Raw genomic sequence first — 25,941 nt, forward strand, 5'->3', positions numbered from 1 at the left:
ACTTGAATTATTATGAAAAGACTCATTTCTTTGCCTCAAAGAAACTTTAAGGACTTTTCACAGTCTTAATAATTATCATCACATTGTTTGGAGAGTAGTATTTTGGTTTCACAGGTGATTCAGCATATATTAAGTGCCGTAAAAACTTGTTTATAGTTGTGTAGATGCTTTTATTTATAAAGGGATAAAAAGCCTTTGCAAGGAGAAATAAAGTCATGCATGTGGGAAATGCCTTTTGTTAGGAAATAACTTCACTGACCCTGTGTTTTAGAAATATGTGCTTTCTTAATTCTGTTAAGTTCCAGAAATAAGTAAGTTTTCAAATAAAAATATGTAAGGAAAAAATGCCTGGTTTAAAAAACTTTTTAAAATCAGATGCTCCTCCCCTGTAGCTGTCTATGGGTATAGCCATCTTCGATAGGTGGATAGGTGGTATAGACACTCATAGTTCTTGAGAATACAGAAGTTGTTAGGTTTTGCTAAAGCCACTCCAGTCTTCTCATCCTCACTTTTTAATTTCAGTAGAAAAGACAGTAGTTATGGAAACCAAAGATCCTTACCGGGAAGTTAAAATTTTCAGAAACAACAATATTAGTGATTTTTTTTTCCTTGAAAGGAACTATGTGCTAATTGATAGATACCAAAATACAAAAGTGCCTAAGAGTTTTTTGATTAAGTGATACAAAATTAGTTTGACCATGTATTTCAAGGCATTATATATTTGACAGATATCACTTTCAGTGACTAAACACCTGTAAGCATAAGTCACCATCAATCCCCAGTAACCTCAAAAGTGTTGGTGGGCCTAATAACATTTAAGACAGTCTTTTCCATACACTTCTAAAACTTCATAATACATTAATTAGTACACGCTTTTTTTCTGATGGAATCAATAGCTTTTGCACTGTGGTAATAATAGACTAGGATAGTAGAGCTTTTATTTTTGCAGTTAAATTATATAGAATCCTTTTCTTATGGCAGGGGATGGGGGATCATCTCTGAATTTTAGTTATATTGCTGAGAATATACAATGAAAAGTTATAACTTAATGTCTTGGTTTTGGTGCAATGGTACATAAAACCAACTTCATAAATAGTTGTTTTAAACACTATAAATTTTGAACTACCTCATTTTGAAGCTAAAAATCTAATGTATATGTTAATTATATGATTATGTTTTAAAATGTATTACACTATGTTTTCCTCAATTTAAAAAAATTCTATAAGAAAAAGCGTTTTTGTTGTTTTTCCATCGCTCAGGCTGGAGTGCAGTGGTGCAATCCCAGCTCACTGCAACCTTCACCTCCTGGGTTCAAGTGATCCTCCTGCCTCAGCCTCCTGAGTAGCTGAGACCACAGGTGTGCACCACCACGCCTGGCTACTTTTTTTGTATTTTTTGGTAGAGATGGGGTTTCACCATGTTGGCCAGGCTGGTCTTGAACCCCTGACCTCAAGTGATCCACCCGCCTCGACCTCCCCAAGTGCTGGGATTATAGGCATGAGCCACCGTGCCCGGCCAAGAAAATAGTTTTTAAATCAAAATTTATTACCTTATATTAATTGTAGGTTACCATAATTAATATTAAGAGTTGCAAATATACTTATAATTGGTAACATTTATACAGTACTTTCAAATGTTCTTTTTGCTTTGTAGACAAAATCTCTATCCTGGAATATTTCTATTTGAAATTTACAATTCTGACTTTGTTTCCTTGAATAATGTATTTAGAGTATTGTTTTTCTATTAACATATTATAATTAATTCTAGTATTATTCGAACAATTGATGGTAAAGTGCTACACAAATATAAACATCCAGCTGCAGTGTTTGGTTGTGATTGGAGCCAAAACAATAAGTAAGTGGTTTTTTTTCCTGAAATAAATAATAACTACATTTTGGAAATTTTAAATAACCATAAAGTTTAGTGCTATTTCCAAAGGTAATATCTATCACTCTATTTATACAATATCCCCTTTGCCTAGCAAATGAGAAACAGCCTTGTAATTGCTCATTTATTTTAGTTATTTTTATTCCATGAAGTTTTTACATGATTTACAAATATTGATTTCCTACTCTCAAAAAAACTTTCTAATACTTAGGAAAAAAAATAATGCTAACTAATGAAAAATGGAAATGAGTCCATTGCATGTATGGCTTCTATCATAGAAATGTGGCCCTTTTTTTAATCTCACTTAGGAATCTGTGCAATGCCAGTGTTCCACTGTGACTTTGCATTGTCCCCCACCCGATGCTAATGCCTCTGGCACTGGGTAATTTTCCACGATGTGGAACTTAAGTGCCTGGTTTTAAAAGGTCAATCTTGTTTGACAGCCAAGTATTTATCATGTAAAAATCAGCTTAGATTTAAAATTACATCCAAGTCAAATCTCCACTAAAATCAGACCTTTAACTCATTGCATTTCCTAGAATATTGTGTTTCAAGCCTCTTTTAATGGGATATAAATTATATCTAAAAATTCAAAGTTATTTAAGATATTGTCAAAAACAATGTGAATTATGTTATTTTGTATGAAATGTGGGAAATATAGAGTAAGGTACTAAAGCCTAATTATACTTGTGTTCAGAGTCAAATCACACGTTTTACAAAATGATAGACCTATGTATTTCCTCCATCAAGTGCAGAAGAATGTGTAAAAAACACTGTTTTTTGTGGGTTTTTTGAGGACGGAGTTTCACTCTTGCTGCCCAGGCTAGAGTGCAATGGCATGATCTCGGCTCACGGCAACCTCCGCCTCCCGGGTTCAAGCGATTCTCCAGCCTCAGCCTCCTGAGTAGCTGGGATTATGGGCATGCGCCACCACGCCCAGCTAATTTTGTATTTTTAGTAGAGACGGGGTTTCTCCATGCTGGTCAGGCTGGTCTCGAATTCCCGACCTCAGGTGATCCACTCGCCTTGGCCTCCCAAAGTGCTGGGATTACAGGCGTGAGCCACCACGCCCGGCCTTACACGCTGTTAAGGTTATATGCAAAATAAGCTCACTATCAGCTCATCCCCAGTATTTCCCATCTCAGTGGCCAATATTGCTAACAAGGAAAACTGCTAAAGCCAGAATCCTTAGCCTTTTCTTTTACACCTTTTTATATCTCACTTTCTGTTTTCAATCAGCCACCAATTCCTGTAATTTTCTCTGTCTAAATATTCATCTTGGCCAGGTATGGTGGCTCATGCCTCTAATTCAAGCACTTCGGAAGCTGAGGCCAGAGGGTCACTTGAGCTCAGGAGTTCAATACCAGCCTGGGCAACATAGTGAGACTTCGTCTCTTAAAAAAAAAAAAAAAATGAAAAATGAAAAAATTAGTCAAACTGGTGGGGCACACTTGTAGTCACAGCTCCTCGGGAGGCTGAGGTGGGAGGATGGGTTGAGCCCAGGAGGTCGAGGCTGCAGTAAGCCATGATTGTGCCACTGCACTGCAGCCTGGGTGATAGAGCCAGACCCTGTTTCAAATTTAAAAGAAAAAAATTATAAATACTCTTTTTTTTCCTAACCATCAACTTGCCACTAAACCAATAACATTTGGGTTTTTTTAGAGTCCTGCAGAAACCTTCTAAGTCAGTTCTACAGTTTACACCCTTTATCATCACCTCCTCTCTCTCTACCCCACCTCTCCATGTTGCAGTCAGAATGAACATTTAAGACACAGAGCTGAGCACACCATTCTACTGCTTAAATCTTTCAATACTTTCCCATTAACTGCAGGATAAAATGAAAACTTTTAGCAAGCACTACAAGAAGGTCCCTGAATAATCTTTTTCCTATTTTATTAATCTCATTCCCAGGCTTGCTTTCCCTTACTCCTTGCATCCAGCCACACTCACTTTCAGTTTATGGAACTAGCCATCTGATTTTCACCCCAAGGTTCACTTATACTGGCCCCCTTACCTAGGATTCTGTTTCCCACCTTACACCACACACCCTACCTGGGTGGGAGATAGATAACTGCTATCCATCCTTCAGCTTTCAGCTCAAAAACCACAGAAAAGTATTCCTTGACCCCCATATGAAGTAAGTTTCCCATATAATATGCCTTTGGAGCACTTAATATAATAAAATTAAATTTTATTTGTTGGCTGGTTGCATATTGGCTGTCTCACCCTCTGAAATGTAAGCCCTATGAGATCGCCAACTACGTTATCTGTGTTAAACAGCATATTCTTAGCAAAACACTCAGTTGCTGACCCTCACTGTGCCTTGAAAAAAGGAGATGTTCAATAAATATTTGTTAAATATGCAAATGAATAGAATTACCTTGTATCTGACTAATTAGAACAGTTCCATATTCCTATTTCTCTGTTTTATAGAGTTAATAACCCATTTGGCCAGTTGAAATAAAAGCTAGATATTAATATAATATGTTTAGTTAGTTAAGAAAGCTATATTTTCAAATGACACTGGAAGTCCTTTATATTTAACTATTATGCTTACTACCAAGCATATCTAATAAACTTCATTTTTAATTTTAGAAACCTTTTAAAATGTTTTAATTGCCGTATTCATATTCCACTTAGTGTCTTAGTAGGTAAGTGAACCTTGAACATACCAAAGTTTATTTATAAGGTATCTCTGACTGTATAATTTAGATATCTTTATGTGCATTCTTTAAATCTTTATGATATCATTTCTGACTTTATGTATCTGTATATACATATATATAAAAATATACTCATATATGCATGTAAATATATATATGCAAATTATATTTTCCCAAATGTAGAAACTGTCTTGTTTATCAGTGGATCTTGAGAAGATGTAATCTGCACATTTGCAGATTGGCATGCCAGTTTGCAAACTGCCGTATTTCTACATGTGGGCTTAAATAAATATAAGTATTATAACCCATGTGACAAAGTCAACAGTTTGAAGTTTTGAAAGGGTTTTGATGACAGTTGTGATCCACAGTGTGTAACTGCCTTTCTTTATGTTTAGCATGTGGAGACTGTTTATAATGATGGTTAGAGTAGATGTTCCTCAAATAGACTATTCTGGCAGGTCCGTGATTTCCACAGGTCTTCCTACTACTCATAATTCCTTTCCTAGCAGTATTCCAAGTTTGATCATGAAGGTACAAGTAGTTGCTTAGCTTATTCTCACTATTGTGAGAATACTGAGCAAAGAACATTAAAAGATCAAATTCTATTTCCAGGGGCTTCATAGTTGTATCAAACAGTTAAAGCATCTTAAAGAAGGGAAGCCATCAAAAAGGAATGGAAAACTGGACTGTGACTTCCTGTCCAATCAGACAACCCTGGTCTGCAGGGAGCTTTTCCAGAAAACTTTCAGTGAGAATACTGTTGTTTGTACCCATGCCACAAAAACAATCTAACAAATGGGCTAAGGCATGTAATAATAATTTGCCCACCAGCAAGTAAGCAAATGTCATCACTCACCATTTGGGATGCTTCTTAAGACCTAAGTGTTGCAGAATGTAAAGTTTGAGAAAAATTCAGAAAATTATGAGTCTGGTCATCTTGAAAAAGAACTTATAGAAATAGAAATACCATTACCTCTGACCTAAAATAAATAAAATAAAAATTCAACCAGTTAAAAGAAAACACAGAAAGAAACACACCATACTGGTGCAGTTTCTGTAAATGAGCAGTAGCGTGATTATACACGATTTTTTACATATGTAAGTTTTTAGTCTAACTTCACTAAGGAAGCAAAAATTCTACTTTTAGAAATTAGAACTATGGTATACCTTTAATTATTAGTTATATATCATATTTATCCTATGTCAATATTCCATTGATGATATTTCAGAGACATGATAGCCACTGGCTGTGAAGACACAAATGTTCGTGTTTATTATGTAGCCACCAGCTCAGATCAACCATTGAAAGTATTTAGTGGGCATACAGCAAAAGTGTTTCATGTTAAATGGTCTCCTCTGAGAGAGGGAATTCTTTGCAGTGGTTCTGATGATGGGTATGTATTTTTGGATTCTAATTTTCTAGTCCTTAAAATCATAAGCTTATATTTTCCTAGAAATGTACATATTTATAGGAGATATATAGATATATACAGAGTCTCCCTCTGTCACCCAGGCTGGAATGCAGTGGCGTGATCGTGGTTTACTGCAATCTCCACCTCCCAGGTTCAAGTGATTCTCCTGCCTCAGCCTCCCGAGTAGCTGGGAACCACAGATTTAGTATTGAATGATTAAGCATTTTCGTTGAATTTTTGGCATAAATCCAAATTTAATAAGATAAATAATTAGGAGATTTCTGTAGGTTATGACTTGAAATAAGTCAGAATGGTAGGGAAATCAGTTATACTGCCGTACTCATGGCAGAACTCACAGATGCTGCGCTGCAGCCTGGAGAGCCTCAGACACTCATTTGCAGTGGGGCCTATAAAAGCCTTTCTTGGGTTTGACCAAAAAACATGCATTGGGACTTCAAAGCCTAACTACCTAACATGTCATGAAAGGAAAGACACCTGTTCTAGTGGCCCCTACAATAACAGTAAGTTATTTTGATACAAATCCCTTTAATGTATTCTTATTTATGAAAGTATATCAAATGTAAAATATTTAAATGTTAGCATATATAAGAAATTAGCAACAAAATTTTTAGATTGTAATATACTTTGATATATTGTCGTGTGCAAGCTTAAGAGGACAAAGAAGAAATGAAAAAAAAAATTTTTTTTTTGAGACAGTCTCACTGTGTCGCCAGGCTGGAGTGCAGTGGCATGATCTCAGCTCACTGCAATCTCTGCCTCCCGGGTTCAAGCTATTCTCCTGCTTCAGCCTCCCTAGTAGCTGGGACTACAGGTGTGCGCCACCACGCCCAGCTAATTTTTGTATTTTTGGTACAGACAGGGTTTCACCATGTTGGCCAGGATGGTCTCGATCTCTTGACCTCATGATCCGCCCGTCTCAGCCTCCCAAAGTGCTGGGATTACAGACATGAGCCCCTGCGCCTGGCCGAAATGAAACTTTATATAAAGCAGAAAGGGATATGCCTTAAGAAATAAGAATACATCATTTATCTCCTATATAGTGCAAAATAGTAATACTTTTGAAGTACTACTATTTTGTTGTCAGTTTGGCATATATCTGTGACTAAAAAATTATTGTGAATTGTCTAAGCAAAATTAGCAGTTGGAGGTCTTAAATTGATTGTAAGTTAAATTTTAATTTCAGTAACATTTGTACAATCAATAGATACAAGTAATTTCACGAATCCAGTTATATTTAAATTTTTTAACTTGATCTAAGATTTATTCTACACTGACCAAGCAACTTATATCACTGACAAAAACATGAAGGAATTATTTGCTGTATTGATTAAAGCATAAATATCCAGTGACATTTCAGATAATACCCATCATCATACATGTTATACTTTTATAATTTACAAATCATCTTAATATATTAAATTACTGTATCTGTATTATTAGTCATATTTTCCACTTTGGTTATAGCTGTTTTTGGTATTTCGTTTTAACAAAGCAATTTTATTCACATGTAACTAACCGGCACATTGTGCACATGTACCCTAAAACTTAAAGTATAATAATAATTTAAAAAACTGTGAAATAATATGTTTACTACCAGTAATGAGTAAAAGTCAAGAAGGAAAATATGTTTAAATAAGCTAGCACTAGCCTAGTTAAATATTCATTTCCATCTACTATAAAGAAAAGTATGTGAGGGGATGAATTTGTTAATTAGCTTGATTTAATTATTCCACATTGTAAGCATACATCAAAATATCACATAAATATATACAATTATTATTTTTTAAATTAAAATGAAGAGAACCTTATATCTTGAGACATAAAATGCTTCTAGATAAGCTAACAAATAATTATTATACTCTATTAAGAATATGTTAATACTCTAGATACATTATAACTTGAATGTTATCACACCCATAATATTCTGTTTTCAGTACCGTTCGAATCTGGGATTATACTCAGGATGCTTGCATCAATATTCTTAATGGACACACTGCACCTGTGAGAGGATTAATGTGGAATACTGAGATTCCATATCTGCTCATATCTGGCAGCTGGGACTATACTATAAAAGTATGGGACACTCGAGAAGGAACTTGTGTGGATACTGTGTATGATCACGGTGCAGATGTATATGGTAGAGTGTCTTTCATTCTTTCATGTATTTGTTATATTGACATACTAATGATGCTTATAACTTCTGAGGAATACAGTATTTTTGAAGAAGTTATACAGTGTTTTATTTTACAATAACATTTTTCACATTAGAAAATATACACGTTTATTATTATAATACCAGAATGTGCAGAAGAAAAAGTCAACAAAAATTATCAGAAGATGACTATTGTTAGCACTGTGTTGTCTTTCTCCCCACTGTCTGCAGGTGTGTCTGTGTTTCTGTGTACACACAAACACACACACAATGCACACATATTGCGATGGGCATATATACATGTATGGCTTTTGTTTTTCTCCCTTCCATTGACATCACTCCAGAGGTAAGTTGTTTAACAGGAAATCAGTAATAGAGTAGATACCACTTATTTAACCATTCCTCTATTCTTGGATGTTTAGTACAATGTTTTGTTTTTTAATATAATCCCGTTTTTTTAATATAATTAATTGGTTATGGAAAATCAGATTACTTACCATTTGCACATCTCTTCACTCTCATTCTTGTTTGTATTTATTCTCATCCTTAAACTTTGATGGGAGTAAATGGGCAGATTAAGAATCCAAAAATGATTTCTTAGAAAAAGTAACCTCAATCTAGATCAGGTTCAGATCCATATGCTTGATCACAATGGCCTTTTAGCCAAGGCAATGCGGGACTGAGTGTGGGAGAGAATCATATTTGTTGATATTCGAATTGAAAGGTCCCCAACTCTTCATCTTTTAACTAGAACGTCATCTGCCCATCCACTAACTCACAGATACTATGTATGCTATTGGTTTTATAGTATACTTGTTGCTGCTTAACCACACGAAATATACTTTTAACATTTTCATCCATGACCATTTGCTTTCTAATAATTTTTTTCTTTTTTCTTTCTTTCTTTTTTTTATTATTATTTTGTTTTTTTGAAACAGAGTCTCACTCTGGCTCTGTTGCCCAGGATGGTGTACAGTGGCGCAAACACAGCTCACGTCAACCTTCACCTCCCAGGTTCAAGAGATCCTCCCACCTTAGCCTTCCAAGTAGCTGGGACTACAATCACATGCCACCACACCCAGCTAATTTCTGTATTTTTGGTAGAGATGGTATTTCATCATGTTGCCCAGGCCGATCTCAAACTCCTGGGCTCAAGGGATCCACCCGCCTCAGACTCCCAGGAAAGTGCTGGGATTACAGGCGTGAGCCACCATTTCCAGCCTCTAATGGTTATTCAATTTTATATTCATATTTATAGAATATATAAAATAATTTATTGCATTCTTATATTATTTTCAGCCAGTATATTAAATGCAGATAGGTTGACTGAGAACCTTTCAGTTACTCACAATATTTCTTCATAGCTTCAATTCTGTAGAAGTTTTATGAAGCACATATAAATAAAAAATATTTTTCAATGTTCACTTTACTTAAAATAGGTTTTTATTTTCATCAGGTTTAACCTGCCATCCCAGTCGCCCCTTCACTATGGCCTCTTGCTCCCGTGACTCTACAGTGAGACTCTGGTCATTAACAGCCTTAGTCACTCCTGTACAAATAAATATTCTGGCAGACAGATCTTGGGAAGAAATTATTGGGAACACTGGTATGGAACATATACATGTATTAGAGTTTATTTCTAAATAAGTTTTATGAGAAATCTTTTCTCACTGAATTATGTCTGTTCTTCAGATTATGCTATAGAACCAGGCACTCCTCCTCTACTGTGTGGTAAAGTGTCAAGAGATATTAGACAGGAAATAGAAAAACTAACTGCTAATTCTCAAGTGAAAAAACTAAGATGGTTCTCAGAATGTTTATCTGTAAGTATTACAGGAATTAAATGCGAATATTTTCCCTTTAGCCAACATGAATCATTACAACTATTTTTATTCACATATTTACATGTACCATTCTAATTCATTGGGTAACTCTTACCATAATCTGTGCACTATAAGAAAGCAAATGTAAAACTAGAAACAATACATGAGATAACATGTAGTTATTTTGTTAATTTTTAAATTTAGATATGCCTGCATTATAATATTTTTGAAGATGCAAAATATTATGAGGTTTTTAATTCACTATTCCATATTTATTTTTTGTCAACTCTTTAGCCTCCAGGTGGCAGTGACAATTTATGGAACTTGGTTGCTGTGATAAAAGGACAGGATGATAGCTTACTTCCTCAGAACTACTGCAAAGGAATAATGCACTTGAAACATCTGATTAAATTTAGAACAGTGAGTAAAATATGCAAATATGATGTACTCAAGCAAATTTTTTGCCTTTTCACTATTAAAATGTAAAAATGATTTTAAAAATATATATGATTAGATCGGTAGATTTAAATAAATGAACACTGAGGAGATCCATCTTGGGTAAAATGAATCATAAAAGTGAATTACTTGAGAACAGATTAAGTCAATCATGGTTATCATAGGTTGAGTCTCATGAAATTCCTTCAAGGTCACTCGGAACTCCTTGAAATGCTTTATCTTTCCCCTATTAGCAGATGACTGTGACATGTGGACTATTCTAATTTTAGTCTCAGAGGGCCTAATAGGCTGTTCTGGGATATGTTTTATAATAAATGATCATATTATAGCTCTTAATGAATTTCAGTAAAAACTACTAGTTACCTCATCCCTGGGGCAATCTACAGCACTAACAACAAAACCCATTCTGGCACCAGAAAGAAAAAATTGCTTGTATATTTTCTGAAATATGTATAGTTAATCGTTAGAGCATGGAGACAGTTGTGCCAGAGATGTGGATCTAATGCTCATAAAGAGCAGTTTTTTCCATGAAGAGGAAGTTACTTTCTTTAATCGCAAACTAAACACCTAATGACTGTAACCACAAAATCTATTTGACAGGAGAAGAGCTAATTAAAGTAAGCCAGTAACTTTTTGTTTTTACTAGAGGCCTGTCTGTACTGTTGTATATTACTTTATCATTACCTTTTATCTGTTCTGTGTAACTACAACACCTGGAGAGGGTTAAGAACAATGGGGTTCAATCTCTCCCCTCCCGTGTCCCACCCCCACACACACCCCAAAATATTATGTTTAGAAACGTATCACATTTTATAGAGAAAAATATTTTTAAATATTTACTTCCCAGAGCTATATGCTTTTGAAGTATGTATTCATGTAAAGTTTATATGATCATCTGTTATCATGAACTCTTGTAAAACAATTTTTTTAAATTTTTAATTATTATGGATGCATAATAGTTTATGGGGTATATGTGATATTTTCACACAAGCATACAATGAGTATTGATGAAATCAGGGTAATTGGGGTATCCATCACCTCAAGCATTTATCTTTTTTTGTGTGTTAGGAACATTTCAATTCCGCTCTATTAGTTATTTCAAAATATGCAACAAATTATTGTGACACATACAAAACAAAATATGTCAAATTTTTTTAAATTCTATTTTCTTTTTAAAACCAGTCTGAAGCTCAAGAACTAACAACAGTCAAGATGTCTAAATTTGGTGGTGGTATTGGTGTACCTGCTAAAGAGGAAAGACTGAAGGAAGCTGCTGAAATCCACTTGAGATTAGGACAAATTCAGAGATACTGTGAACTTATGGTTGAACTTGGAGAGGTAATGTGCTATGAAAGTAAAACTAATGAGTTTAACATAGTAGTCTAAACGTTAAGAATATACTCAATTTTAAGTATTAAAAATAAAAAGCTCAGCACTTTGGAGGCCAAGGTGGGTGGATCACTTGAGCCCAGGAGTTCGATACTAGCCTGAGCAACACGGTAAAACCCCACCTCTACAAAAATCACAAAAAATTAGACAGGCATGGTGGTGTGCACTTGGGAAGCTAAGATGAGAGGATCAGTTGAGCCCAGGAGGCAGAGGTTGCAGTGAGCTGTGATCGTACCACTGCACTCCAGCCTGGGCTACAGAAAGAGACCCTATCTCAAAAAAAAAAAAAAAAAAAAGCCTGAGCGTGGTGGCTCACGCCTGTAATCCCAACACTTTGGGAGGCCAAGTCGGGTGGATCACGAGGTCAGGAGATTAAGATCATCCTGGCCAACATGGGGAAACCTTGTCTCTGCTAAAATACAGAAAAACAAAAACAAAACTAGCCAGGCGTGTGGCACGCACCTCTAGTCCCAGCTACTTGGGAGGCTGAGGCAGGGGAATTGCCTGAACCTGGGAGGCAGAGGTTGCAGTGAGCCGAGATCGTGCCACTGTACTCCAGCCTGGGTAACTCCATCTCAAAAAAAAAAAAAAAAAAAAAAAAAAAGGGAAAGAAATGTAAATACCCTGCGTGCTGGCTCACACTTTCACACCTGTACCTGTAACCCTACCACTTTAGGAGGCCAAGGCGGAAGGATCACTTGAGGACAGGAGTTCAAGATCAGCCTAGCCAACATGGAGAAACCCCGCCTCTTCTAAAAATATAAAAATTAGCCCAGCATGGTGGCGTATTCCTGTAATCCCAGCTACTTGGGAGGCTGAGGCAGGAGAACTGCTTGAACCTGGGAGGCGGAGGTTGCACGGAGCCGAGATCGCACCATTGCACTCCAGCCTGGCGACAGAGCAAGACTCCATCTCAAAAAAAAAAAAAGGAAGCTTATTTTTTTACAGATCTAATTGATTCTCTACCAATATGATATTAAGTGTAGATGTTAGGAGAGTAGTTATCAAAGTGTTCCAGGACAGCAGCATTGGCATCACTGGGATCCCTATGCATGTCTCACCTCAGACCTACAGAATCAGAAACTGCGGGGTTGGAGCCCAGCCATCTTGTGTTTTCATAAGCCCTCCATGTTATTCTCTTGCATGCTGAAGTTTGAGAACTACCGCCCTAGGCTGGAATCTTAACTTCTTACAAACAAACAAAAAACGATGTTGGCTAATTTGTTCACAGTAGAATCCGCTTGCTAATACTACTTGTCATAACTAAATCCCACACTGGCCAGAAGAAGGGTTTCTGCTGAATATCATCTGATAAAGGATGATGATTGTTTAATGGAGGGCTAAATCAACAAAACTGATCTTTACAAAAAGGTTAGGATGAATTTATGCTTTTGCTACCCTTTAGTAGATGGGTAGTGACTGCAATGGAACACGGGAGAATGGGGCTTCTGTTTCTTGATCCTGAGTGTTGATTACATGGGCATACTCAGTTTGTGTAAACTTATTGGACCTTTCCCTTTTCTGTATATGCATTTTAGTTCAGTGAAAATTCTTCCTTTCCCTGCCTCACCAAAACAACCGTTAGAATGGCATGGACTTATCTCATAGCTTATCATCTTTTAAAAAGTTTAAGTTAGTTAATTGTGTAGCTACAAAGCATGATATTTAGAGTACTTGTAAATAATATAAAGTAAAACTAAGCAATATGGTTACATTAAAATAAATCAAAACTAAATTTAGCTCACCTTTTTACTTTCCATATACTTCAAGAAAAACAATGAATTACTGCTTGACCCCAAATAATAACATGTGCCATTTTAAAATGTTATCAAAAAGGCATTATAAATTTAAAAGTATTTAATTTAGGAGCAATGTAAAAATTTTCCTTGTAAAGTAGTAAATATTTAACTAAAAGTTGCTTTTTTAAACAGCATTACTGCAGAGAAGATCTATCAAAAGTCAAGGAGAAAAGGAATTAATAAATTTTGGTACAACAGTGTAATTCTTTAGCTTTCTGGGTTTTATATTTGATTAAATATAATTTAAACTGCCTTTAACTCAAAGCCTATTTCAATCAGGTATCTGTTTGGGAAGCTTAATAATTTTATTGTTGTGCAGGTTCATCGATGTACTTAATGATCCATGAAACTGTACAAGTTGTTAGAAATATGGGTGTCCTAAGGCGGGCACGGTGGCTTATGCCTGTAATCCCAGCACTTTGGGAGGCTGAGGCAGGTGGATCACCTGAGGTCGAGAGTTTGAGAACAGCCCTGCCAACATGGTGAAACCCTGTCTCTACCAAAAATACAAAAATTAGCTGGGCGTGGTGGCGGGTTCCTGTAGTCCCAGCTACTCAGGAGGCTGAGGCAGGAGAATCACTTGAATCCGGCAGGCGGAGGTTGCAGTGAGCCAAGATCATACCATTGCACTCCAGCCTGGGTGACAAGAGTGAAACTCCATCTCAAAAGAAAAAAAGAAAAAAGAAATATGGGTGTCCATAGAATCGTTTGTAATCATTTCTTAGGAATGTTGTTTATTTTTTTAAGCTTATCTATTAGACATGTTTCTATTGAAAGAGCTTGGTGAATTCAAAGTTAATTTAATCTACATTGCAACTTCTTTCTTCTGTTAGAGAGAGATTTCCCCTGAAAACATATTTTAAGATACCTTTTAGGTAACATGATTTTAAATACGTAGTATTAAAAATTGCCTGTTTAAAATTTAACGTATTATTTTCTGGTTAATTACCAATTTTCTAGTGATAATTGCAATAGAACCCTAGTGTTTTGAAAACCCTTAATTAAAATAAAATTTTGATTCATGTAGTGATATTTCAGAAAATTTTCCTCTCAGTTCCACTCTAGACTGGAATCCAATGAAATCTGTATTTTCATATAACAGTAACAATCAGCCTTTATTAAACAATGAGCTTCTTCAATAGAAGTCCAATTTTTAAATATGAAGACAAGTATTATATTATCAGTTAAATGAAGAAATGACAATAAGTAAAATTTATTAAAATGAGTAGGAAAGGATAAAATAGAAATAGATGGTATATTTGTTCATGTAAGTAGCAGTGAAATAAAAATGTTAATATTTTGAACACCATGGAACAAATTACTCTGGAGTTGTATTAGAATATGAGTCAACATATTTTTCAAAGTACATATTTTAGTTACTATTTCTTTTCTTCCCTTCCTTTCTCTCCCTCAGTCTCTCCTTCCGTTTTTCTCTTTCTTTCTCTCAGGTTTAGGACTGGATTTTCCCTAAATAATAGAATTTTACATATTTTATTTTAAAATATTTTAATATGTAGAGACTTCAAAAATTTGTGGAAAATGGAATTAAAAGATAGCAATAAAAAATAAATATTTTTCTCAACTTCTTCAAACTCCATCAAGTTCAAGATACTTTTGTAAGTGATGAGAGCAGCCATTTAATCCTTCCCTAAGGAACCGAGGGGTACTTGGAATTTAACCATGTCAATACAATCTTTTTTACTTTGTTTTTTTGTTTATTTGTTTGTGTTTTTTTTTTTTTTTTGGAGACGAAGTCTTGCTCTGTGGCCCAGACTGGAGTGCAGTGATGTGATCACAACTCACTGCAGCCTTGAACCCCTGGGCTCAAACGATCCTGTCCACTCAGCCTCCCAAGTAGCTAGAACTACAAGTGTGCACCACCACATCTGACTAATTAAAATATATATATATATATATATGTTTTGGTAGACATGAGGGTCTTGCTGTGTTGCCCAGGCTAGTCTCAAACTCCTAGCCTCAAGCAATCCTCCCACCTCAGCCTCCCAAAGCACTGGCTTTACAGACATCAGCCACCATGCCCAGCTTCTTTTATATTATTGACAGAGGTAAAATTAGTGCTCTTTAAAGATTTTTTTTAAGACTACGGAACAAAAAGAAGTCAGAAAGTACCAAATCAGGACTCAAGAACTCAAATATAAAAATACTATATTATAAATACCAATCTATTTTTTAAGTGTCTTAAGAATTACACAGAGCAACCAAAATTAATATGCTCCTGCCCTTTTTGCCTTCTATTGTAGTGGGACAAAGCCCTGTCAATTGCACCAGGAGTCTCTGTGAAATACTGGAAGAAGTTAATGCAGAGGTAAGGCAGAGAGAGTCCGTGTTAAAACAGATGTTTTAAAATCATGTTAGAATAGAAGCAGTATATAAATATGGCAGTAGCTCTTGAAATTTCTTATTCTTATGTTGTCTTAAATAACAATTAAATTTTGTATCTACTGATACAGTAAATGAAATGAATCAGTTACAAGTAATTTTGGTGTTCTTGGATTTGACTTGACCTCTGATGAAGATAGCAGAAGGCAAATTTCCCCATGTCAGTGGAGAGAAGGACAGATCAGCAAACATACTCACTGATTAATAAATTGCTATTGAAATATAAGTGGCAAGATTTTCTGAAGGTTAGCATAGGTTCGTAAAATACTATTCTATTAATTATCTCAAAAATTTTCTCTGTAGGCACTAATTCCTGCCATTTCTTCCCATGGATATGAGGGAGGCACTGATGATAAAGAAGGGTCTGACCACTGAGGAAATTAACTAAACATTCTTGTTTCAGAATGCAATAACCCGACAAGATTTTTTCTCAAGTGGGCTAGTTTCCTGGGGTTGCCGTAAAAAAAAAAAAAAAAATTACCATAAAATGGGTGGCCTAAAACAACAGAAATTTATTTTCTCACAGTTCTGGAGGCCAGAAGTCTAAATCATGTTGTCAGCAAAGTTGGTTTCTACTGGAGGCTCTGAGAAAGAATTAGTTCCATGCTTCTCTCTTGGTGTCTGGTTGCGTGCAGTCCTTGGCATCTTGTGGCTTTTTGACACGTCACTCCAGTCTCTCCTTTATCTGCACATGGCATTATTCCCTGTGTGTCTCTGTGCCCAGATTTCCTCTTCTTATAAGTCATGAGTCATATTGGATTGAGGTCCTACCCTAATCCAGTATGACCGCATATTACTTCAACTAATTACATCGGCTAAGACCCTATTTCCATATATGGTTACATTCACAGGTATCGTGGGTTAGGACTTCAACATATTGTTTTGAGGGACACATTTCAACCTACAATGTATCATTATTCTCTGTTCTATTTTATTCTACTCTCTTCTATGCTATTCATTCATTTAACAAATATTTATTAATGCCTACTATATGCCAATCACTGTGCTAATCTTATAGAGTACTATATATTATTATGTAATTACCTTTCTTCTGACATTAAAAACAGAAATTTGGATTTTTCTTTTATGCAACAAGGTTTAGTGGCAAAAAATCAACTGCTTCTTATAGACACAAGTAAAAATCAATCAAAGGCTAAACATAAAATTCAGAAGGATTAACACATTTGCCATGGGAAAGTAGACTGTTCCCTAGCACCTGCTCCCAACAGTAAGTTAAGCAACAGGCTGATTGTAGCCCTCAGATTTTAGGCTCCCTCTCCTGAGCTTTAAGAATCCCCAGTGCTGTAAGTCCCTGTACCCTCACAGCACAATTGTGAATGTTATTGCTCTCACCGAATCCTTAAGAAAGTCAAGTTAGCAGAGGATATTTATTTCACAAAATATTATTTCAATCTCAGCAAAAACTTAATGGATTTCCATTTAAGACCAAAGTGGAGTCACTCCGTGTTAATATTGCAGAATAAAAGTAAACATATTTTGTATTCTATGTGATTATTGACATATTTTATTAGCATCTAGTCATATTAATATGCTACTACGTTGCTTTCTATGTTAGGTATCTGTGAGTTTAAAATGTGGTGTATCCTCAGATAAATTGGAACAAAGGAAACCTGACCAAGATTGGTGTATATGAACTGAGCTATAAAGAATACATAGGACATAACCAAGTGAAGAGGCTAGAGGAAGCATCCCAGGCTTAGGAAGCAGAGTACAGGAACTCTGTGAAAGGAGGCTGCTGTAGCTGGAGTGCAGGAGCCAGGGGGAAGTGATGCCAAGGGAAAGTGAAAAGGTAGGCCCAAGCTGGACATTTTAGGGCCTTGTAAACGTAGTAAGCTTTTTTATTGTTTCTTTTTCCTAAGAGGAACACAAGACATTAAAGGGTTTTAATTTTAAATAGGGTAGAAAGTGATGTGATCAATTCTTCATTTAGAATATCCGCACAAGCTAAAATATCAAGAACAGATTAGAGAAGGTCAATAGCAGACATGAGGAGGCCAGTTAGAAGGCAATTAGAATAGCTGAGTCAAGAGACAGCAGTAGCGTGGACGCCATATGTAGTGATGTGGGGACTGAGAAAAGTAGACAAATTTGATATATCTAGGAGTTAAAAGTAACTGGATTTGGTAATAGAGATGAGGAAGGTATAACATAATTTTTAGGTTTTAGGTTTGAAAAACTGGATAGAAGCTGTTGCTAATCACTGGGATTTAAAAACAAACAACTAAAACAACAACAACAGCAAAACCATTAGAAGAGGATTTGAATCAAATGGCACGAAGATCATTAGTTCTCTTTGGACATGTTGAGCTTGAAGTTCCTTGTGATTTTAGTGGCATTGTTCAATAGCCAGTCTTGATTTTGTAGCCCAAAGAAGAAATCTGGATCACATGGAGGTTATTGTTGATCTTAGTAAGAGCTGTTTTGGTAGAAAGAAGGAGACTGAAGCAAGATTAGAATAGATTTAGTGGGGAAGGAAAAGGAGGAGGCAAATGGGAATACACAAAACTCTTCCAAGTCTATTTCATTTATCTTTGAAAGCCAACTCCTGATTTTCTCTGCCTCTTAGCCATGTAGCTGCCAGAAAGTGGTCTCTCCACAACTCCTGCATTTATGCTTTATAGATCCAGCCATTCATCCAGATTGGCAGTCTCTCAATCATAGTTTCAAATGCCCAGGGAAGTAGATTATTATTTCTAACCAGCTTCTTTCTAAACAGCTATAACAAGAAAATCAAAGTCACATAGTAAAAACATAGCTGTTGAGGAATACTTCGATGACTCTATGAAATTGGAGACTGTTAACAGTGAGCTGGCAAATATCATGAAAAATACTTTCCATTTTCAGCATGAAAAATATCTGCTACCCCTACCCAAAGATTAAAAATTGAATTCTGGTTTAATGTAAATGCTAGCATAAATTAAATAGACCAGGTTATTTTTAAACAAAACTGAGGTTAAACATTGAGGGCAGAATTAGCTAGGGGGTTAGTCATTGAGAAAATACCTGAGACGTAGATGGGAAGATACACACACACATGCACACACACACACACACACACATACACACACACAGATGGAGAGAGAGAGAGAGAGAGAGAAAGGGAGAGAGAGAGAAATGGGTGCAGAGAGACAGAGACAGATTACAGAAACAGACACATGTACACCCTTCACAATCTCTAAGATTACCATCCCCTTTCTCCCTTCACATGTCTGGAACATTATTTTCCTTTAATCTTCCTCACTTAAGGCACTTAAGACATTCTACATTTTATTGTTAATATTTATGTTTCTATATTCTCCATCTTAGTGATTTTTAAGCTACTTGAGTTTCAAGCCTCTCTATTCATTGTTATGCTTCCTAAAACAATTAAAATTATCTGTCTTTAACAATGTAGATACCCACATATTTGCTTAATCCACCTGATATCCTATCACACGTACCTTGTATAAAACATATTTTTGAATAAATTAATTGCCCATTTTAATAAACTACATTGATTTTAAGATCTAAAATGTTCAGGCATATTTTATGTCATGTTCTAAAGACAAACAAGTACCTATAGTATTTATTATTTCATACAACTTTTATCTGCCTTCCACATGTAATTTGATTATAAAATGTCTTTTTTAAAAGTGGTATGCCAAAGGGCTTTATGAAATCTGCTACAAATTTTAGCCATACTTTCAGAAAATCTCAATTCACCTAAAAACCTTCAAAATAATATATTGTTTAAAAAACTGTCCTTATTTTATTAGGAGAGCTGACCAATTAATCCAGGAAGATAAGGATGATGTCATTCCATACTGCATAGCCATTGGTGATGTGAAAAAGCTAGTCCATTTTTTCATGTCAAGAGGTCAGCTTAAAGAAGCTCTGCTTGTTGCACAGGTAAAACCACAGAACTACCCCAGTCACATACATGAATGCTTGAGCATGTAGAAGGGAGAAGGTTGTGTTGACTGGCTCACCCTTACATAATTGACAAAGTCATAAAGGGCTTGGCTTCTGCCCTCCTCCCTGGCCTTCTTTCTCAACATTTGAGAACATACTATTTTCTGGTCACAGCGCACTTATTTTATTTTATTATTTATTTATTTTTTTGAGATGGAGTCTTGCTCTGTCACCCAGGCTGGAGTGCAATGGCACGATCTCAGCTCACCACAACCTCCACCTCCCAGGTTTAAGTGATTCTCCTGCCTCAGCCTCCCGAGTAGCTGGGATTACAGGCACCCGCCACCATGCCCAGCTAATATTTGTATTTGTAGTGGAGATGGGGTTTCACCATGTTGGCCAGGCTGGTCTCAAACTCCTGACCTCAGGTGATCCTCCCGCCTCAACCTCCCAAAGTTCTGGGATTACAGGCATGAGCCACCACACACAGCCGAACTTATTTTAGATCTTTAAACATACAAGCATCTCTGAACTCTAAACTTTACACATGCTGCTGAATGTTATACACCATGCATTTGAACAACTTAGTAATAATTCACTTGAAGCTTTTTTTGCTACACACAATTAACATCTCATTTCTCCTCAAATTCTAAGATTATCTCCAAATTATAGTATAAATTTCAAACATTATTTAAGTATACTTTGCTCAAAATCATATTCTGAAATGTGTCAATTATCAACAATTAGCTAAAGAATAATTCAACATTTAATTAAATTCTAGGCTGCTTGTGAAGGAAATATGCAGCCCTTACATGTTTCCGTGCCTAAAGGAGCTTCATATTCTGATGATATCTACAAGGAAGACTTTAATGAGTGAGTGATTTATTTGCTCTGGGTCCATATGTTTTATGGTTGTCTTCCCTTTAGGAATTTTTGAAGTCTCTATAATTCATCCTTCTTTGTATACTGATGACTTGACTGCCTCAACCGCATTCCTCACCATGATCCAGTTCCATACAGCATTTACTCCTAGATGAACAGGGAAATTTCAGGCATGGAGACTCTGTTTATACACATTTTATATAGCTTTCAGAAAAGCAAAATGCATTTTACTAGAGAGATTGAAAGTAAGGCACCTAAACACTTAGAAACTAATCAAACCTATTGGAGAGGACCAATGATGAAAATAAGATAGACTGCTTATTAATGTTTTACTCTAAAGTTAGTGTATGTAAGTTCACAGTAACGTAGTTTATAATCCCATGACCCCAGTATTGGTATCTAGAATAATGTTTGGTCCTCTTTTAAAGAAGAAATCCTGATAGTTATTTTAAAAAAGAAATGGAAATGAGAATTTTTCAGCCTTCTAACCTTTTTTTAATCCAGTAGTCTGCCTTCCCCCATCCTTTCTATTTGCTCCTATTATTAAGCTAGAAAATAGGATATTTAAACTTTTAAGACACTCATCAAGTAGAAGAGGATCATGAAATGTTAAGCAAATAATGTGTTGGGAATAATGTATTCTTGCCTGGATCTTTACTGCCATTCTCTGCCATTTCTAAATTTGACATTTTAAAAAGCTAACACATGCTAGCTGTATTTTGGATACCACATAAATTTCTCAAAATTTCAATTTGACCTGTAATTCTTCTACGCTTAACTTCCCCTGTGGCTGAATCATAAATTGTCCAATGCAGAATGGTAAGCTTTTAAAATCAGGCTTCTTTTCTGACAGTTGTGGGGATAGAGGGAGATAGAGGCTTATCAGACCGTATACTTGTAAAGACCACTTTCCTGATTTATTTTTTCCAAAAACAAGTCTTTAAAGCAAGCATGTCAAATTAAATTTTATTTGGTCTTTTTATCATACCTTTTAAAAAGTATTAGTTTGCTTTTATAATGGAATACTTGTGTTTATATAGAATACACATTTTTTTCTTTCTAGACTCCTGCACAAAGTCAGTAAAGAACTGGCAGAATGGTATTTTCAAGATGGTCGAGCAGTACTAGCCGCATGTTGCCATCTTGCCATAGATAATATTGAGGTACGACATTTAAAACTGGTTTATGTGAATGAAAAGTTTTTTAGATATGTCATGGTGTTTGAGAGGAAAAGATATGGTGACTTTCTATGTGAGATCTGGTTTTGCATGTCTTCGAAGCCTGAGTAATTAAGTAATTACATTCCTAATTAGCACACATAAACTATGAGCTCTTGTTTTAAGCACACATAGACTATGAGCTCTTGTTTTCTTTTATTTCTACCACAAGACACATATTTATAACAACCTTGTTTTAAACATTTCAACATAGATGAGAAGCGCCAGTGTAGTAAAGGGAAGAATCACTGGACGTAGACACAAAATATCTGAGTCTTTTCTCACACATACTGACTTTGGGCACGTCATTTAACCCTCAGAATCTCAAATGTCTTCAATTCTAAAATGAAAATATGAATACCTCCCTTACCTATTTCACATATATTTGTTAGGATTATAAGAAAAAATACAAATGAAAGCACTTATTTTTCAGTATATTATTCACAAGTTATATTTTTAAGGTACTTTCCACTTGAGTCATTAATTTAATAAGGAAAATGTTAATTAAAGATACAGATTCTATTGTGCATTTATCTTTAGATATATTTGCTTTAGGAAATGATAGATAACTATATAATCTTAAAGAAGCTCTTAAAAATTTACATTTTTTTCTGATATGGAGATTGAAGGACATATTGAGAATATCATAGAGTGTTATTAATTAATTACAAAAATAGAACCAAGGGTTCTAAACTCTTCAATTCTGACCTAAAAAAAATTTCTGTATGTCTCATTAATAACTTTTCCCTCTGAAAATTGCAATTACGCTTACATAGCTACTTTATAGGAATATTACAGTCAATATTTTATAAGAATAATTGATTTATAGGTTAATACTGCTTTATCTGCTTTATGAGCTTGGAGGGGAATGATGATCCTACCCAGCTTCTATGCAACTGAAGAAATTATTTTCTTATTGAGCAAGCTTGCTATGGCATACCTGATTCGCGGAAATGAACTGGAGTTGGCAGTCTGTGTGGGCACAGTACTAGGAGAGTCTGCAGCACCAGCAACCCACTATGCCTTAGAATTACTGGCGAGAAAGTGCATGATGATTTCAGTATGGTAAGAATTTTGAAATTCAAAGAATAATTTCATAGTGATGGAATACATTTTTAAAACATTATAAATTCCATTTGATAAGATATGCATTGGGAGAATATAGGATCACCTTGTTTATAAAGGATAAGATTGTGGAAGGAAATAATGATATAACAATGTCATAATGATGAGAACTATCATGGTTGTATAATGAAATTTGCCATGATCCATTCTGAAGTAGCCCAGTTGTAATTCCGTAGTGTTTCAAGCACTTAAAGTATCATGAGACAACAAATGTGCTCTTCTTAAGATGATCAGAACACATATTCCCACATGTTAAAATTCCGCATATCTACACTTTTTTCTTGTCAGATCTTGTGTCCTATTTTAAATTTGTACAATAAAGTCACTTATATAAAGCAACAACAAAAAATGGTTTTGCTGGACACTTGAAACAGGACACCTCCCCCAGACTCTGGCAATACCCAAAGAAAGAGACCCTGGGAATTACCTGGGGTAGCCCGGAAATCCAGGGCAAAGCAATTCCAGCTCATATCTGCAGAGCCCTGGCCTTAAGTCAAACAATCCATTATTATGGAGGCTCTATTAGGAAATATGGGATTCCGTCATTCCTTAGATGTTTATTGAATAAAGATTATTTTAGATTTTTATCTTTTCTTTCTCTCAAATACTTAGGATCTCAAGAAGTTTCTAAATGAATTTGTTTATCAGGACTATGACCTTTCCCCATTGCAAGTCCCATGCACACACACACCACCCTGGAGGTGGAGCTATACAGATGACTATAACTATTGAACACCACAGGTGGTAATGATAATAATAAATACTAATTAACACTTCTATACTGTTTACTCTGTGCCAAGCACGATTTTAAGTACTTTATATGTAAAAATTCACTAGGTTCTATGTGGTAGGTTTTAATTTTCCTGAGGTCGCAGTAAGTGGTAGAGCCAAGATTCAAAGCTACATAAATCAGCTCTGAAGTTTGCATTCTTAGCTGTCAGACTACTTGGGGTGAGCATCCCTAATCCAAAAATCCAAAATCCAAAATGCTCCAATATCCAAAACCTTTCAGGTGTTGACCTGACAATCATAAGTGGAAAATTCCACATGAAAGTACTTAACACAAAAATTTGTTTAATGCACAAATTATTAAAAATATTCTATAAATTACCTTCAGGCTGTGTGGATAAGGTGTATATGAAACATAAATACATTTTGTATTTAGACTTGGGTCCCATCCCTTAGATATCTTATTATGTATATGCAAATATTCTAAAATCCAAAAAAGTCTGAAATCTGAAACACCTTTGGTCCCAAGCGTTTCAGATGAGGGATACCCAACCTGTACCACTTTCTTATCTGCAGCCAACTCGGGAAAAGAACAACACTTACATTCTTCTTTTTTGTCTGAATCTGAAGGTTTTATAGTGAATCAGGAATTTCAAAGTTGTTTTAATTTTTACATATATCTTACAGTAATGTAAGAGCTCCCTTCCCCCACTAAAATGTAGTAGTACCCTACCATCAGTTTCAGACTTCAGTGTACTTAATGGTGACTCTCCTCTGAGAGTATCTAGTTATCTCTCTATCAAGAGCTATAATAGTCAATTACCTAGGGACTTGCCTTCGTCTCAAAGCATGAAGCCTAATTGAAATTATTTATTCATGAAGGTGGCTGATTTCATGCTAAAAGTCATCATCAGATGAAAGGGGATTTGTTTTTAAAAAGTGAAGGTAAAAAGCAGTAAAAGGGCCAAGCACAGTGGCTCACGCCTGTAATCCCAGCACTTTGTGAGGCCAAGGTGGGTGGATCACCTGAGGTCAGGAGTTCAAGACCAGCCTGGCCAACATGGTGAAACCCCATCTCTAAAATACAAAAAAAAAAAAAACCCATTACTAAAAATACAAAAATAAAAAATAAAAAAATTAGCCAGGCATGGTGGCAGGCACCTGTAATACCATCTACTTGGGAGTCTGAGGCAGGAGAATCACTTGAACTCAGGCGATGGAGGTTGCAGTCAGCCAAGATCATGCCACTGCACTCCAGCCTGGGCAACAAGAGTGAAACTTCGTCTCAAGGAAAAAAAAAATTTGGCAGCAAAAGAGAAATACAGTATACAGTTGACCCTTGAACAATATGAGGGTTAGGGGTGCCAACCCCCCAAGCAGTCCAAAATCCATCTATATCTTCTAACTCCCTCAAAACTTAACTACTAATAGCCTACTCTTGACTGGAAGCCTTACTGATAACATTAACAGTCAATTAACAGATATTTTGTATCCTTTATGTATTATATACTGTATTCTTACAATAAAGTAAACTGGAGAATAGAAAATGTTATTAAGAAAATCGTAAGGAAGAGAAATCAATTTACTATGCATTAAGTGGAAGTGGGTCATCATAAAGGTCTTTATCTACATCTGCTTCCTACTGAGCAGTTCAAACTCATAACATAGTATGTTACATAATATGATTAAACATTTTTCAGTTAACTATATGTCTTAATTACTTTTAAGAAAAAACAAACTTCTTCCTTGTAACGCCCCCATCCCAACAATTCTTTTTTAATATATCCATAGATATGTGTAACAGAAACTAGGAAACAGTTTAAATGTGGTGCTGATTAGCTTTACTTTCAGGAGAAAGCTGTAATCCTCCTGGCTATTAGTAGAGCTGCACAGATTTTTTAAAAGATAGCTACATCATTTATAAAGATGTGCATAATTTTTAAGCTATAAACAGCGCTTTTTTTACATTTACTGTAAAAGTCTGTTTCTTTGTGGTATTCATCGTATAATCATGGTATTCATATTTAATATTTTCCTTTAGCTTTCCATGTGTTGGATACAGGTATTATCTACT

At 35.5% G+C, this 25,941-nt stretch overlaps 1 protein-coding gene across 12 annotated transcripts in view, besides 1 other annotated feature; it reads left to right on the forward strand.

Moving 5' to 3' along the window:
- Positions 1–25,941, forward strand: part of WDR17 (WD repeat domain 17) — a 116,975-nt gene that overhangs the window by 74,375 nt on the left and 16,659 nt on the right. For 5 of the 12 annotated variants that reach the window (NM_170710.5, NM_001378103.1, NM_001350727.2 and 2 more), the window contains 13 exons: positions 1,768–1,854; positions 5,780–5,944; positions 7,918–8,120; positions 9,592–9,741; positions 9,828–9,958; positions 10,253–10,378; positions 11,597–11,752; positions 15,864–15,928; positions 19,779–19,911; positions 20,696–20,787; positions 21,860–21,959; positions 22,939–23,078; positions 25,909–25,929. In NM_170710.5, coding sequence (NP_733828.2) covers positions 1,768–1,854; positions 5,780–5,944; positions 7,918–8,120; positions 9,592–9,741; positions 9,828–9,958; positions 10,253–10,378; positions 11,597–11,752; positions 15,864–15,928; positions 19,779–19,911; positions 20,696–20,787; positions 21,860–21,959; positions 22,939–23,078; positions 25,909–25,929 — 1,569 coding nt within the window. The remainder of the gene's footprint in view (positions 1–1,767; positions 1,855–5,779; positions 5,945–7,917; positions 8,121–9,591; positions 9,742–9,827; positions 9,959–10,252; positions 10,379–11,596; positions 11,753–15,863; positions 15,929–19,778; positions 19,912–20,695; positions 20,788–21,859; positions 21,960–22,938; positions 23,079–25,908; positions 25,930–25,941) is intronic. The other 7 variants (XM_047449569.1, XM_017007690.3, NM_181265.4 and 4 more) reach the window with 3 other exon arrangements.
- Positions 16,047–17,246: an enhancer, noted in NCBI's record as "BRD4-independent group 4 enhancer chr4:177077413-177078612 (GRCh37/hg19 assembly coordinates)". NCBI's record gives its function as "activates an origin of replication core promoter dependent on BRD2, P300/CBP, MED14 and CDK7 cofactors, and independent of BRD4, by STARR-seq in HCT116 cells {active_cell/tissue: HCT116}" and the evidence as "EXISTENCE:reporter gene assay evidence [ECO:0000049][PMID:35650434]".

The sequence above is a fragment of the Homo sapiens genome, chromosome 4, assembly GCF_000001405.40.
Source record: "Homo sapiens chromosome 4, GRCh38.p14 Primary Assembly".
In the NCBI taxonomy this organism is placed as follows: Eukaryota; Metazoa; Chordata; class Mammalia; order Primates; family Hominidae; genus Homo; species Homo sapiens.